We start from the raw sequence: 14,276 nt of genomic DNA, 5'->3' as shown, positions 1-14,276 counted from the left end.
ACTCCACCAATCTTCCAGATAGAGAAATGGAAGTTCAGACAAATTAAACAACTTGCCCAGGGTCACAATGATTTGTATCAAGTTCTTTTTGTTTCTGAAATCAATGCATTACACAAATGGCCTCCCTCTGATCTCCAACAGTGCTTAATCTACAGCCTTTAGATGATTTCTACATCCTGCTTTAGAATGCAGCACTCTACCGGGTGCAGTGGTTCACGTCTGTAATCCCAACACTTTAGGAGGCTGAGGCAGAAGGATCCCTTTTCCCCAGGAATTCAAGACCAGCTCTGGCAACATGCTGAGACCCCATCTCCAAAAAAAAAAAAAAAAAAAAAAAAAAAAGATCCAATAAAAATTAGCCAGGCATGTTGGTGTGTACCTATAGTCTCAGCTACTCAGGAGACTGAGGCATGAGGATCCCCTGAGCGCAGGAGTTTGAGGTTGCAGTGAGCTATGATGGTACCACTGCACCCCAGCCTGGGTGTCAGAACAAGACACTATCTCAAAAAAAATAAAATAAAAATGCAGCAATCTGGCACCCAGAGTGGTTATCATACAGTTCTTCTTCTTCTTCTTTTGTTTCTAACTTTTTAAAAAATATGGGGTCTTGTTATGCTGTCCAGGCAGGAGTTCAGTGGCTATTCACAGGCACAAATACAGCACACTACAGCCTTCAACTCCTGGCCTCAAAACATCCTCCCAACTCAGCACCCACCCCCGTCCACCTCCCCAGTAGCTGAGGCTACAGGTGCACGCTACCACACCCACCTTAACACACAGTTCTTGCTGGGTAATTTGTAGAAGTGTCTTCCCTCTAGTCCAGCCTCCCTAGCCAATTATGTTGTAAACTGGACAGTAGGGAGCTATGTAGGGAAGAAAGGGAACTCCTCCCCTTTTCCCTCTCCCCCAGGTTCCCACTTGGATTCCCCAAAGAAAGCTCCATCAGTATTTCTGGCTTCCTTCTCCACACCCAAGTCACTCTCCCACAGGAGAAGCTGTATCTAATCTGACCTGGCAAAAATCAGTACTCTTATGGGGTCCCAACTTACTGGTGGGGTGACTGTGTTTAAAGGCACAAATGAAGCTGTATGCAATCTCAATGACCTTACAGTAAACAACCCCACATTTTATGTGATTCAACTTTGCATTATATTGAAACACTGAAATGGTAACTGTACCATTGTTCCATTAATTGAACACTTAGTGTATGCCAGGAGCTGTGTTGTTTCTAGGGATACAAAAATGATGGAGACTAAAGTGCTGACTTCCCAGTGCTGATGCTATAGCAGGTGTCTGCAGAGGGTCAAGATGAGCTGAGAGTAAGGTGGTGGCATGAAATAGCGGACTGTAACCACAACTGCCACTGTGAAGACATAATAGGCTTAGCAGCTGAAACATCCTGGAACTGCACTGTAGATGGCCTTGGAACACCAATTGCCTCTTTGAAGAAGTCTATTTCAATTGTACATTAATCTTCACATTTTTAGAATCTAAAACACTTCTGGGAATTAAGTCAAGAAGATAATGCAATAAACTCCAAATTCCTGTCTTTGCCCTTTTTTTCTTTTTTGACCAACTTGGCTATCTAAGAAGGTCTATAAACAGAACCTTTTCCCTCCTTGCCTGGTGTAAGGTAGGTGTGCAGTCATCCTTACTGAGTGATAAGCACCTTGGGAAGGAGAAAGGGCAGAAAGCATGTAGCATGTATTCAGGAAAGATAATGTAAAAGAAACCTTTTTGTCCCCAAGTTGTCTGGGGTTGGAAATCTATTTATTCAAATAGAGGTCCCCTTAAGCTAAAATATACTTAAATCTGGAATAGTACCTAACAAGAGAGACAGTGAGACAGCTTCTAAGGAATGAAAACTACCATGCCTATAGCTCCCACTCCTCCCCATACAGTGGCCAGACATTACTCCGTGGACAGAACATTTACTACTGCAATTAGTGCTTTAAAAAAAAAAAAGCCAGCTGACGCAATAAACTCATCTTATTTAATTTCAAAACATGAATTCATTGCTATCTCAGGAAATATCACCTTACTCTTTGGATTAAATGTTATCTCAAGTCTAGGAGGCATTCAATACTGATAAAATAATATACTTTAGTTGGCTTTTCCAGGCTCAAGTTTCACCAAAACAAGTTTCATGCAAAGATTAGCCAAGTACCAGGTAATGGGAGATGGCAGGGTTATGTCATCTGTGGCCCATTTCCAAAGAAACATGGCTTTTCCAGGTGGAATTCTAAGTGCTCTCTCTTCTCGCTCTTTATAATCTTTGCTTTGCCAGTCAGCAGGATGGTTAAGGACAGATGCATTGAAACAGGCTGCAGGCCATGAGGCCCTGGGCCAGTCATTTCAGCTCTCTGGGTCCTTCCTTCCTCTACTGTGAAGTAGATTGTTCCAGGCCACTTGTCATGGGGCCTCTTCTTGAACTAACATCCCAAGATTCTTAGTCCTGGACTCTACTTTCCAAACTCTTCCTGTGGCTGCCCCAGCATGAAGTCACCTACCCGATCGGTAACATTTAAACACTGTGTGAGTCTTACATTCTGTAAGAATGAATGGAGGCAACTACTTGGCAGATCATTCAGCTCATCTCCCAAGTCCACTGCTCAGGTAAATTTCCAACCCTAACATTAATCCACCTTGTATATCCTCAACCCCTTCCCAGGCACAGAGATATCAAAAAGAGTGATTCTTGCTCTCGATCTGATGATGATGATGATGATGAATTTCTGTTGACTCTTTATGAGGTGTCAGGTCCTGTACTGAGCGCTTTGCGTTCATTATCTCATTTAATTCTCACAAAATCCCTATTAGGTATGCATAACAAATGAGGAAACTGAGGTACAAAGAGGTTAAATGACTATTCCAAGATCTCACAGATAGTGGTGGAACCCAGGATTTGAATCTAGGTCTGTCTGACACCATACTATCTCTTATACTTGGAGTGATCAAGTGCAACTATAAATGCAACTTACTCTGCCCAAGACAGGACCAAAATTTACAACTGTATCTCAATGATCAAAGGGAATGCAATTATCATTAGTACTCCCTTTCACTCTCAGAAGTATCTTGGTTGGGATAATAAACTATACAGTCACCTGGTATAATACCTAAGGAGTGTCAATAATAATAATAATAATTACTATTATTATTATACAATATTCATGTCACTTTTGCAATAAAGCCCCTCTTTTTTTTTTTTTTTTTTTTTTTTTTTTAAGATGGAGCTTTGATCTTGTTGCCCAGGCTGGAGTGCAATGGTGCCATCTTGGCTCACCGCAACCTCCACCTCCCGGGTTCAAGCGATTCTCCTGCCTCAGCCTCCTGAGTAGCTGGGATTACAGGCATGTGCCACCATGCCCAGCTAATTTTGTATTTTTAGTAGAGACGAGGTTTCTCCATGTTGGTCAGGCTGGTCTTGAACTCTCAACCTCAGGTGATCTGCCCACCTCAGCCTCCCAAAGTGCTGGGATTACAGGCATAAGCCACTGCGACTGGCCAATAAAGCCCCTCTTAACCATCCTACATTAAAGGTAACCTCCACCATTCCTCCCTATCCTTCTCACCCTGCTATATTTTTCTTAATATAATAGCATTCATCACCATAAAAAGTAACATGTTTTGCTTATTATCTCTTTCTTCCAGTAAAATATAGGTATGAAACTTTTTTGTTGACTCATATATTCCCTAGTTCCTAGAAGATGTTTCATAAATGTGTTGGATGAATTAAGGTAACATCATGATCATTATCATTATAACAATGGCTAACATTTATTGAGCATTTACTATGTGCTTGGATGCTGCTCTGAATACCTGTATCTTACTAAACAACCCTAACAACCTTGAATTTGGAATGATTATCATCATCATCATTTTACAGATGAAGAAACTGGGGCTCAGAGAAATAAAGCAATATTCTCCCCAGGTTGCACAGATCATTGGCAGAGCTAGGAGGGAAGGGGGGTTTGACTATCCCCAGTATCTATGCATGAAGCCACTGTTCAAAGTCTGATAGCAAAGATACCACATCCACCAGCAGCTCAAGGACTTAGAGAATCAGACGAGGGTTCATACTACTGCCTGTCAGGGCTTAAAAGCCCTCCTTTTAAGAAGTCAGGGAGGGCTTCTTAAAAAAAGGGGACTCAATCTGAGCTTCAAAAGGATGGGGTGATAACATGGAGAGATGGAAGAAGCGTGAAATTGGAATATCACCAGGCCAACCATGCTGATTGGAACTAACAGGTTCTATGTGGAAGCTCTGCTGAAGAAGACCTAAAACACTGCTATCATCTAAAAGGCCTTGAATCCCACAAAGGAGTTGGACTTCATCCACCAATGGACTGGATCCCACAAAGGTTGGAACGAGAAATCAGTAGTCTTGAATCCTGAAACTTCACATCGGGAACAATGCTAGAAAAATAGGCAAAGCTATAGCTGTGAAACAAAAGACTCACTCCTGGACCCTCTACAGACATACACACCTTCCTAAGCCCAGTAAACATACTGGAGCTGATAAATCCCATTTAAAGTGCCTTGCTTTCCTATAGATTCATTTGTGCCACAGGACCTATCATGTTCCCAGCAAGCACACAGCTCATCTCTCACTATGACAAAGATAATGTATAATGCAGGTGCTTACCCTTGTCCCACTCCACAGTGTTATAACCAGACATATTATTTCTGGTCACAAGGGCAATCCTCGACTACATCTCAGCCCAGCCAAATATCTCCATCACACCTTCTTGTTACCCTGTTTAAACAATATCTGTCAACTCATTCTAACCCTTCACTCTAACACCCATTCTTAGTGGGAGGTCAGGCTCTTCCACTGCCTTTCCACCTCCCTGGCTATTGCTCTTATATTAGAAACAGCATTTCTGTAACAATCTCTGAATCAAAAAGAACAACCCTTGGGAACAGCACCTGGGTCACCCAGCCCAGATCTCTGGGCTGGCAGCTGGAAAGACAATGGCAGCCTGGTCCATGTGTCCTGGAGAGTCTTAGAGACCCTGAAGAAAAGCTTAGCCACATGCCTTCTGGGTGGCTGGCATTACATTACAGGAGCCAGAAACAAAACAATTTTTTTCCCTGGCTTCACACAAAAACAAAAACAATTGCATAAGTAATGTAAGCACTGCCAGGTCACCAAAGGGACCAATTATAAATCTCTACTTCTCTATTAACACAAAAATGAAGGAAAATGTGTTACCTCAAAATGTCATTAAGAGGAAGTCACTTACTAATTTCAGAGGCTTTCTCTCCTTCCCTCCCAATATTCCTTTCTTTATTTTCCTAGTAATTAACCAAAGTCAAAACCTTCCTCACATGCTTTGGTTTCAATTCAGGAAAGTACATCAAGGCTATGAGGGCTCATTACCCACAGCGGAAATGCATATGGAACTATTCCTGTATATTCCAACCTGCTTTCTCAAGGAAAGAATGGAACTTCTTGCCCTTGAGATTTTGGGGAATTAGTAGAAAATGGACATGACTTCAGTACCTGGGAGATGGTCAAATCTATGCCAGTTACAATTAGTGGAAAGCAGGAGAAAGTCCTAGAAGTCCCTGAGAGTGGAAATGACCGTTGTTTTCTAGCTGAAGGTGGTAATACTTTCATGTGAGTGTTAATGAGCTTTAGTCAGGAAAAAAAACGGAAGTTGTTAAGATGGGAATCAGTCTATACGTGTAAAGAGCTGAAGCAAGCTGATGGATGTGTTAATTAGTTTGATAGTGGGAATCATTTCATAATGTATGCATAGATCAAATCATCACACTGTACACCTTAAATATATACAATTTTTATTTGGCAATTAAGCCTCCATAAAGTTAGGGATTAAAAAAAAAAAAGCTAAAGGAGCATTTGTCTTTTAAACACAGCACCTGGGAGCTCAGGAGTTCTGCAGGGCCCACAGCATCCTGGCCTTTGGGAGGGAGCAATATAACTACAGGGAAGCAGACAGAGCCCTTTAACCCACTGACCTCTTTTAATCTGCTTGTTAGCCTGGCTGTGGACAGGCCCAGGGGGTCTTTGACCAATGCCTCTCTGGGGAAAGGTCAAAGGTCAGGGGCACATTTCCCTCATCATCATTATTCTCAATTATTCTTCATGCAGAGCCACTTTCTCCTTCATTTTGAGGAAGAGCCCCCTTAAGTGTTTTCCAAGACGCTGAAGGGTGATGACCCAACCCATCCCCACTCTCCTCTCCACCTCCCTCCCAGGATGTCCCTGATCAAAGGGGCTAAGAGGGGATTGCAGTGAACAGAGAGGCCCCTCACAGAGAGAACTGCAGCAGTGAGCACAGGCATCTATACTGCACGCTCATGCAGACCCACCTCAGCAGCAGGCCCTGCAGCGCTCTAGGAGGCATCCAGGGTGTCTGATACAGCAGTTCAAGGTACAGCCTTTGCCATCAGACAAAGCAGCACTTCTAAAGTTACTAGCTCTGGAATCTTAGGCAAGTCATTTAACTCTCTGAGCCTTAATTTCTTTATCTGAATAATGGAGATAATAATAGTTTTTATTTCAGAGGATTGTAGAGAAGATGAAATAGAATCATACACATAAAGCTCAAAGTAAAGGTTCAACACATGTTAGCTATTAATATGATTTTAGCAGTAATTTAAAAAATCTTTTCTTGATGATAAATGTAACATATGAGCTTTGTACAAAACTAGAATATAAGGAAAAGTATAGACCAAAAACAAACAAACAAACAAACAAACAAAAAACAGTCCTGGTAACTTCCCCCCAAGAACTTGGCACTATTGACTTTTGGGAATGTTTCTGTTGAGTCTTTTCTCTGTGTGTGGAGAAATGCACACACTACTGGTTCATCTCGTCCGTCATCATATGAGCAACCATTCACTGACCACCAACTAATTGCAGAACGCTGAGCTCAAATCCGGATACATTTTTTTCCCTAATTTTTACTGTAATTCTGTGAGGTGCTGTAGTCTCAATTTACAATGAGAAAACCAAAGATCGAAGAGGTAAAGCAACTGGCCCATGTCACAAGGCAGTGGCTCCTGTGCAGAGCTCTGGCTACAGGTCTTTCTGACTGGACTACCTGCACTCCGTGCATTAGCACAGGCTGCCAGGGGGCCTCTCTCAGTGCCTTTCCTTTTGCCATTCTTGGACTCTACCACTCCTCAAATAATACCAGCTGCTCCATAAGTGGCCTCATTGTTTCTCCTTGCTCTGCCTAAGTCCAAAGAATTTAAAAGAAGGGAACTAGGGTGTGGAGGGAAGGTGGTAAGAATGTCAGAACCACCCACAGTATGCTCTGTGGCTGTGCCCCAAGCTTATCCCCTCCCAGTGGGTGCTTTGGACCTGGGCAGTCACCTCCTCTCACTTTCATCAAAGGCCTGTGACCCTGTCAGATGGGATTTGGACAGATGTAGGATCTACCAGCTACTGCCTTCTCTCCTAGGTGGGCAGGTGCATTTCTGACATTCCCCTGCAGAGATAACATATAAAGATGCAAGTTTTGCCTCTAATTACTCTGGGCCTTATTTTTGATCCAATTAGCCTTAAAATAGAACATGAAGCAAGACCTTTAATTCTACTATTCAAACAAAACAATGCATTTTCAAGCTGTGGGTTAACTGATTTCATGTTTATTGAAGTGCATCAGTGATAAAAGTTCGGGCACACACCTCTGGCCCCAGGCCTCATTCTGGAGCAGTTATTCACACACAATTGACTTCCAAGATGTTCCCAGGGAGCTCCTTCCTGCTGAGGGCTACTAATGATTCAAAGGTAAGAAAGGTTTGTTTTCCCAGGGCCCATTAGAAGAACCAACCATTCACCCAACAGTACAACGTAGAGTGGGGACAGATTATGTCTCATTTACCACTGAAGAAAATAATGATAGTTCCCATTTAACAGACAAACATGCTTCCAACTCTATGCTGGATCATGTTCCTGTATTATGCCATTTCATCTTTTCACAACCTGGGGAAAGAGAGTTGTAAAACAGCCTTTTACAAAAGAGGAAAACTGATTCAGGGATTAGTAAGTGGCAAGGCTGGAATTCAAACCAAGAATCATCTGCAAGCAAAATCTTTCACAACGAACACAGGCACCAAGGCTGTGCTCTGCACAAAACACACAACAAATAAAGGGTAAATTGATCAATCAATAAGTGAATGAACAAAATGCAAACTAATGATACTTCAGCTAATGATGTATCAGTGGTTTCTAGCATTCACAGAAAAGCTGAGGCTCATCACTGAGGATATCTGAGGCTATCTGGACGCCAAGACCCAGTCATGCCTCTTCCTGCCTGGGCTCTGGGGCAGTGGGATACACGGGACAGAAACTGCTACTCCCTCAGGGCTTCCCAGTTGCTTGAGCTCCCCTAGCCCTTCCTCCACCTCATGGGGAAAGGGTATTTTGGTGGACCATAACTACCTTGGGTGGTCCTCACAGTTAATTTGAAAAGTGAGACAGCTCTAAAGATTCAGGCAGACCCAATAAAGGCTGACCCCTGACCCTTGTTGAGGAAAGCTCCCTCCATAGACTAAACGGGCAGCAATATCGGAGTGGAGAAGACATCCCAGCCCTTACCATGGCCACCTGCCACCAAGCTCCAGAAGCCATCCCCTGGGAGGCTCCACGTTTTCCCTGCCTGGCAAATCATTCTTTTTCTTCTTTTTAAAAAAGCATTTAGGTTTGGCAACCTGACCCTATGCAGTTCAGATCGGGACCCAGCTTTCCTATGCTGCCTGTTAGAGTGGCATCTCAGGTACAGCTTGGAGAGAAATTATGTGAAACTCTGGCCTCTTCCACACCAGTCTGGTTGGAGAAAGATTCCAGGAAAGGATTAGGGAGCTGGAATCATGACATAGTATAGCAAAGGTGCATAACGTCTGCTAATGTTACAGCACATTAAATGAAGTTGTAAAATAGTAGCTTAAAGTTAGGCAGGCCAAACATAACACAAGAAGTATGAAAAGCAAGGTGCCATTTTTCCAACAAATAAGTTCATTATATGAAGACCCAGCTTTGGTTGATTTAGCATCTTGGTATCCAATGCAGCTGCTGTGACTTTCTTTTCTTTCTTTCTTTTTGTTTTTTTTGTGTTTTGTTTTTGTTTTTGTTTTTGTTTTTGGTAGCATCTTTAAAGACCTCACACCAGTAAGTATGCATTCCAGTTTATTAATCATACCTATTTCTTACTGAATCCTTTTTATATGCCAGGCAATCCACAAATATGATTTCTTATCCTGGCACTAGTTCTACAAGGTGGGAACTTGCTCCATTTTACCGAGAAGGAAACTAACATCCAAGGGGGTTAACCGACTTGGCCACAGCACTGGCTGACTTTAATGGGGGAATTATGGTCCCCGCCAGTTGAAACTATCCGATAAAAAAACAATTCACAAAAGCAAAACCCAGAGATTTCCGATCACATTTCCTCTTTGGGATGGAGAAACAACTCAGGCTTCTTTGGGCAGCAAGGAAAATCCTGCTATCCTCAGCTCTCCCGGGACTGATAGGCGGTTATTTTTGAAAACGGAGGAGGGAAAAAGTACCTGCACCCTGGATGGTTCTTTGCAAGCTTGAAAGAGAACTAAGCCATTGTGAGAGGCGGGAGGAGGACCCGGTGCATACTCACTCACTCGGGGCTCATGTATTCCCCACAGACAAGCCAAACCGCAGTAGAGATCAATAGCCATGTGCACCCCAAAGTATCAAGACACAATGGGGGCTCGGGGGACGCGGACCACGCTGTCCCGGGACAGGCTGTGAGGGCGCAGACATGCTCGTAGGAGACAATCCCAGCGTGTGCAATCCAAGAGAGCTCCAGGAATTCGTAGGTGGAAGGGACGGAGAGATAATGCAGCCCAGTCCCACCCCCCTTCAATGACTCACAACCAGAGACATACACACATCGACTTTCCTGGTTTAAACACACACACCTCCCCTGAGATCTAGCTTCAAAACAATAAGGGAAATACCAAGTGCGGAATGCATTTCAGGGGCTTTCCACCACCCGGGCCAGTTCCTAAAGGGGATGGGGGGCGGGGTGGGGGGTTAAAAAGTAGAGCAGCGCCCAGGGGGTGCGGTCTGCAATCCACCCTTACCAGCTTCATGGTGGTGTTATTCTGTTCCCAGCGCCACAGCATCACGCTCATCTTACTTCAGGGCGAGGAAGGAAGGGGCAGAGGAAAAAGGAGGAGGGGAAAAAAAAAAAAAGCCGAAGCACCTGCCCGCGCGCCCGGCAGGTCTGGCCGTCCAGTCCCGGGTCTCCTCTCGGCCGCGGCCCCTCCAGGCATCCCCGGCGCCCGCGGTCGCCTCGCCCCCGCCCCGGGGCCGCTGCTGCGCGCGGGGACCCTACCCTGGAGACCGGCGCCCGCGCTGCCCAGCTCTCGTGCCTCCCTCGCTCGCTCCCCGCCGGCCTCCCCGCCTCCGCCAAATCAAACAACTCGCCCTGTGTCCAAGCGCCCGCTCCTCGCAGCGCGGAGGCCGCTGGGGCCGCGGCGGCCGAGGGCGGGGTGGGGGGGGGGGTCGGCGGCTGGTGAGTTCCCCGCCCCCTAGCTGGCCCGCGGGCCGCCCCGCGTGGCACCCGGCGCTTCAGTGGGCCCTTCGCCACTGCCGCCGGTGGGCGCGAAGGGGGAAAGATGGTCGGAGTTGGTGGGAGGATACTTAACTATTTCGGGGAGGGCGTGGGTAGTAGGGAGAGCCTTGGGCAGAAGATGGGTAGGGGTGAGGCCGGGGGAAGGGGCTGTGGAGCGCAGTTCATGGCTCCCGGGTCCCCATGGGTTCTTAGCTCAGACACCAGCCGGCGCCTCACTATGCGCACTCATCTCCATCCGCATTTTCTTTCTGCACAGAACTCACGCAAGTTGACAGAGCCGCCTCCCCCTGGAGCAGTTGGAACTATGGCTGCAGGATGGATGCATTTCTGACCCCCACAACTCTAACCACACACACACACACACACACACACACACACACACACACACACATTTTCTGACCCCCACAACTCTAACCACACACACACACACACACACACACACACACCCCTGCCCCAGCCCACACGCTGCGTTCCCAGCAATATTTATTTCCTGCCACGTGAAGGACAGAGTTTGGGTATTTCCAAACACACCTTGCCTGGCCGCTGCTGGAGAAAGGCCATTCAAGGCCCTCTGGAGAGGAGGAGAGGTCAGGCAGCGACAGAGGAGGCAGCCTGTGGCCTTTATTTCCTCGTCTGCCTGCTCCACCTGCCACAGGCCCCGGGTGCCTTCCTTTGAGGACTGGGGACCTCCCCACCTTCCTGCCCAACCCTTGTCCTAGGTCCAGCATCCTCTCATCTGGCAGTGACCCTCCAGGGGTCCCCAGCAACTTTCGGTATCCTGAAAAGGCTCAAGAATCCTTCAGCTCCCCAAGGAAAGATGGCACTAGCCACCCAGACCTCGGAACTTGTTTCTGATTTGGGCAGCCATGACATCCTAGGATGGAAATCCTGGCTCTCCCCCACTGGCAGAGAGTTATAATGAGAAATCATGGATTGCTTTATTATATATTCATTTCCGTAGTCAAAACTGTTCATAATGAGGAAAGGTGATAAAATTGGTCCTAATCTTTTTCATTCTAATCTTTAAAACATGGCAATTAGATCAACTTGTCACCCTACCTAAACCTTTCAGGACTTGATTTCCTTTCAGAGTTTAAAAATCCCAGCTCTCTTCTATGACCTGCAACCTGGTCTCCCACCCTCTGGCCAGCTGTGTTGCAGCAACAGTGGTCTGCTTTCTTTTTCTCAAACACATCCAAATCATTCCTACCTCAGGACCTTTGCACGTGATAGTCCCACTCCCCGGAGCACTGTTTCCCCCTAGACTTGCCCATGGTCTCATGTCTAATGGCACCTCTTCAGGGAGACTTCTGACTCCTAATGTTGAAACTTCTCGTTCCCACACTCTCTTCCACTCCATTACTGTTGTCTCATCGTCATTGTTTTGCCTACTGAGTTAACTTAGCTAACCTGTATTCTTGTTTCTTTTCTGCCTTGTCCCACTAGACTACAAATTCCAACAACCTTGTCTGTTTTGTTTCCCTACTGTTCCCCAGTACCCAGAACAATGTGTGGCCCATAGTGGGAGCTCAGTAAATGTTTCCCAAATGAAAGGCTGTTGATGATTGTCCTAGTGTCCGTCCATGCAGCTTCCTCTACAGCTAGGACTGAGCCAGACCCAGGCAGCAGATCCCACATCCTGCCTCGGGCCCTAACTTAGACTGAATGACTACAAGAGGCCCTTCTATGTACATCTCTACACACATTTCTGAAGAATGAAACAGAGGCAGCAATATTTGCTGTCTCAAGGGAAGGGGCACAGGCTAGGACAACATATCAGAAATGAGAGAGCATGTGTCATTTGAAAAAGCATATTCTGTATTAAAATATATTTATATATTTGGAAAACAAATCCTAAAATAATTTTTCCAAAAATAAAGCTTGACAAATCTTATTGGCTAAGAGAGCAAAACACAAGATATCTCTATCACAGCTTTTTAAAGCCTAAAGTTCCTTGGAGTTGAGTGGCTGGATAAAGAATCCAAAATCCTGATTGTGTGAAAATACTGCAAGATCAGGGATTTATACATTTTCTGGGAAAACATCATTAGGTTCATTATACTTTCTAGGATAGCCACAACATTTACGATCTATACATCTGCAGAAAGTCATTGAATGAGCAACTAGTTTCCAATCTTTGCTGGAAAAAGGTGAAAAAATACCACTCATGGTACAAGGAGAGATGGGAAGGTGTGGAGGGAGATACAGAAGGTACCTGCCTCAGCTTTAATTAAAGAGAATAAAGCCTGTGACCTTTCCCTTCAGATCTCACACACCTTAGGTCATAGGTATTCTAGCTCATTTAGCAAACACTCCTTGAGCATCTACCATGATGCACTTACCCAGCTTTGCCGAGGGTGTTGAGAATCAGGGAGGATTCCTTGTCTGGGGTATGTGTCTCTCTCTGTGTGTATGTGTGTGTCCCTACCATGCACACACACAGTCTAGTAAGAAAATGGACAAATACACCAACAGTTGCAATGTAATGCAACAGGTGCTACAAAAGAGGCCTGTATAGTGTACAGCTGGGTCATAAAGAAAAAAGCTGGCTGAGCGCGGTAGCTCACACCTGTAATCCTAGCACTTTGGGAGGCCAAGGTGTGAGGATTGCTTGAGTCTAGGATTTCAAGACCAGACTGAACAACATAGTGAGACCTTGTCTCTACATAAAATTTTAAAAATTAGCCAGGTGTGATTGTGCATGCCTTAGTCCCAGCTACTTGGAAGGCTAAGGTGGGAGGATCATTTGTGCCCAGGAGTTCAAGGCTGCAATGAGCTATGATGGTTCCACTGTACTCCAGCCTGGGCAACAGAGTAAGACCTCCACAAACTCTGCAAAAAGAAAAGAACAATGCACAAGGCTGGGGAGCATGGAAGGACTTCACAGAGGTGATGCTGACCTGCTTCTGGCAGGTTTGACAAGAGGAGAGAAGCATCTCAGGAAGGTGGAATAGCATGTGCAAGGGTGTAGAGGGGTGAAAGTTCATGGCAGGTTCTGTGTGTTCACATCACATGGGGTTATTTGGTAGGCTGGGACAAGCAAGATTGCTGTAAAGGACACTCTATTCTTAATTCTTATAAATAGGGGAATGATTTGTCCAAGCTCCCATTTTAAGAAGACCTAGTAACAGCAAGAAGATAGCTTTAAAAAGGTAGAGACTGGAGGAAGGGAGACCAATTAGATGTCTGTTGAAATCATGCAGGGGATGGGTATGAGGACCCAAGCAAGAAGAGGTGAGTGGAAGAGATGCCTGATATCACCAGCATGATGGTACAGATGGTTCCAAAGGGTAATGGCTGTGAGTTCACAGGTGTCAGGACCCTGTAGATTTGCAGAGACAGAAGTGGCTTCTCACAACCTCCTCATCCACCAAACCCCTCCTACCACCTTTCTCCTTCCTCCTATTTCCATAATCTTCCACCAAGACCTTTGATGTGAAGTAGCGGAAAGAGATCAGTCTGTGTTGACCACATGGAACAATGCTTATGAAGGTCTGCCCTGAAGTGTGGTCTGGTGCCTTCCAGCTGTTGTCCTCTTTTTTCAGCTCATGGCTTTCTGACCCATCCCCTGGCCCTGACTGCCAGCTTAGCCTATCTCCCTGAGCATGACCATTCTTGAACTCTCATGGTAGCCACGAGGTAGGGTCCCAGTGTTCTGGTACTGTGGAGCCCCTGGTGGGGCTGACC

The 14,276-nt window shown here is 45.5% G+C and overlaps 1 protein-coding gene across 45 annotated transcripts in view, besides 1 other annotated feature; it reads right to left on the bottom strand.

Moving 5' to 3' along the window:
• The window catches only part of NAV2 (neuron navigator 2), a 776,366-nt gene that overhangs the window by 333,989 nt on the left and 428,101 nt on the right, over positions 1–14,276 (bottom strand). For 7 of the 45 annotated variants that reach the window (XM_006718366.5, XM_047427822.1, XM_047427829.1 and 4 more), the window contains exon 1: positions 10,096–10,193. The exons of the other annotated variants lie outside the window; for them this stretch is intronic. In XM_006718366.5, coding sequence (XP_006718429.1) covers positions 10,096–10,146 — 51 coding nt within the window. In that variant the 5' untranslated portion in view covers positions 10,147–10,193. Of the gene's footprint in view, positions 1–10,095; positions 10,194–14,276 lie in introns of those variants that run through there. 45 annotated transcript variants of the gene reach the window in all.
• Positions 10,231–10,380: a silencer, noted in NCBI's record as "silent region_3201". NCBI's record gives its function as "represses an Ori minimal core promoter by ATAC-STARR-seq in GM12878 lymphoblastoid cells {active_cell/tissue: GM12878}" and the evidence as "EXISTENCE:reporter gene assay evidence [ECO:0000049][PMID:35858748]".

This window comes from Homo sapiens, chromosome 11, assembly GCF_000001405.40.
Source record: "Homo sapiens chromosome 11, GRCh38.p14 Primary Assembly".
Lineage (NCBI taxonomy): Eukaryota > Metazoa > Chordata > Mammalia > Primates > Hominidae > Homo > Homo sapiens.
The sequence above is the reverse complement of the archived record's forward strand: the minus strand, read 5'-3'. Positions and strand labels throughout refer to the sequence as shown.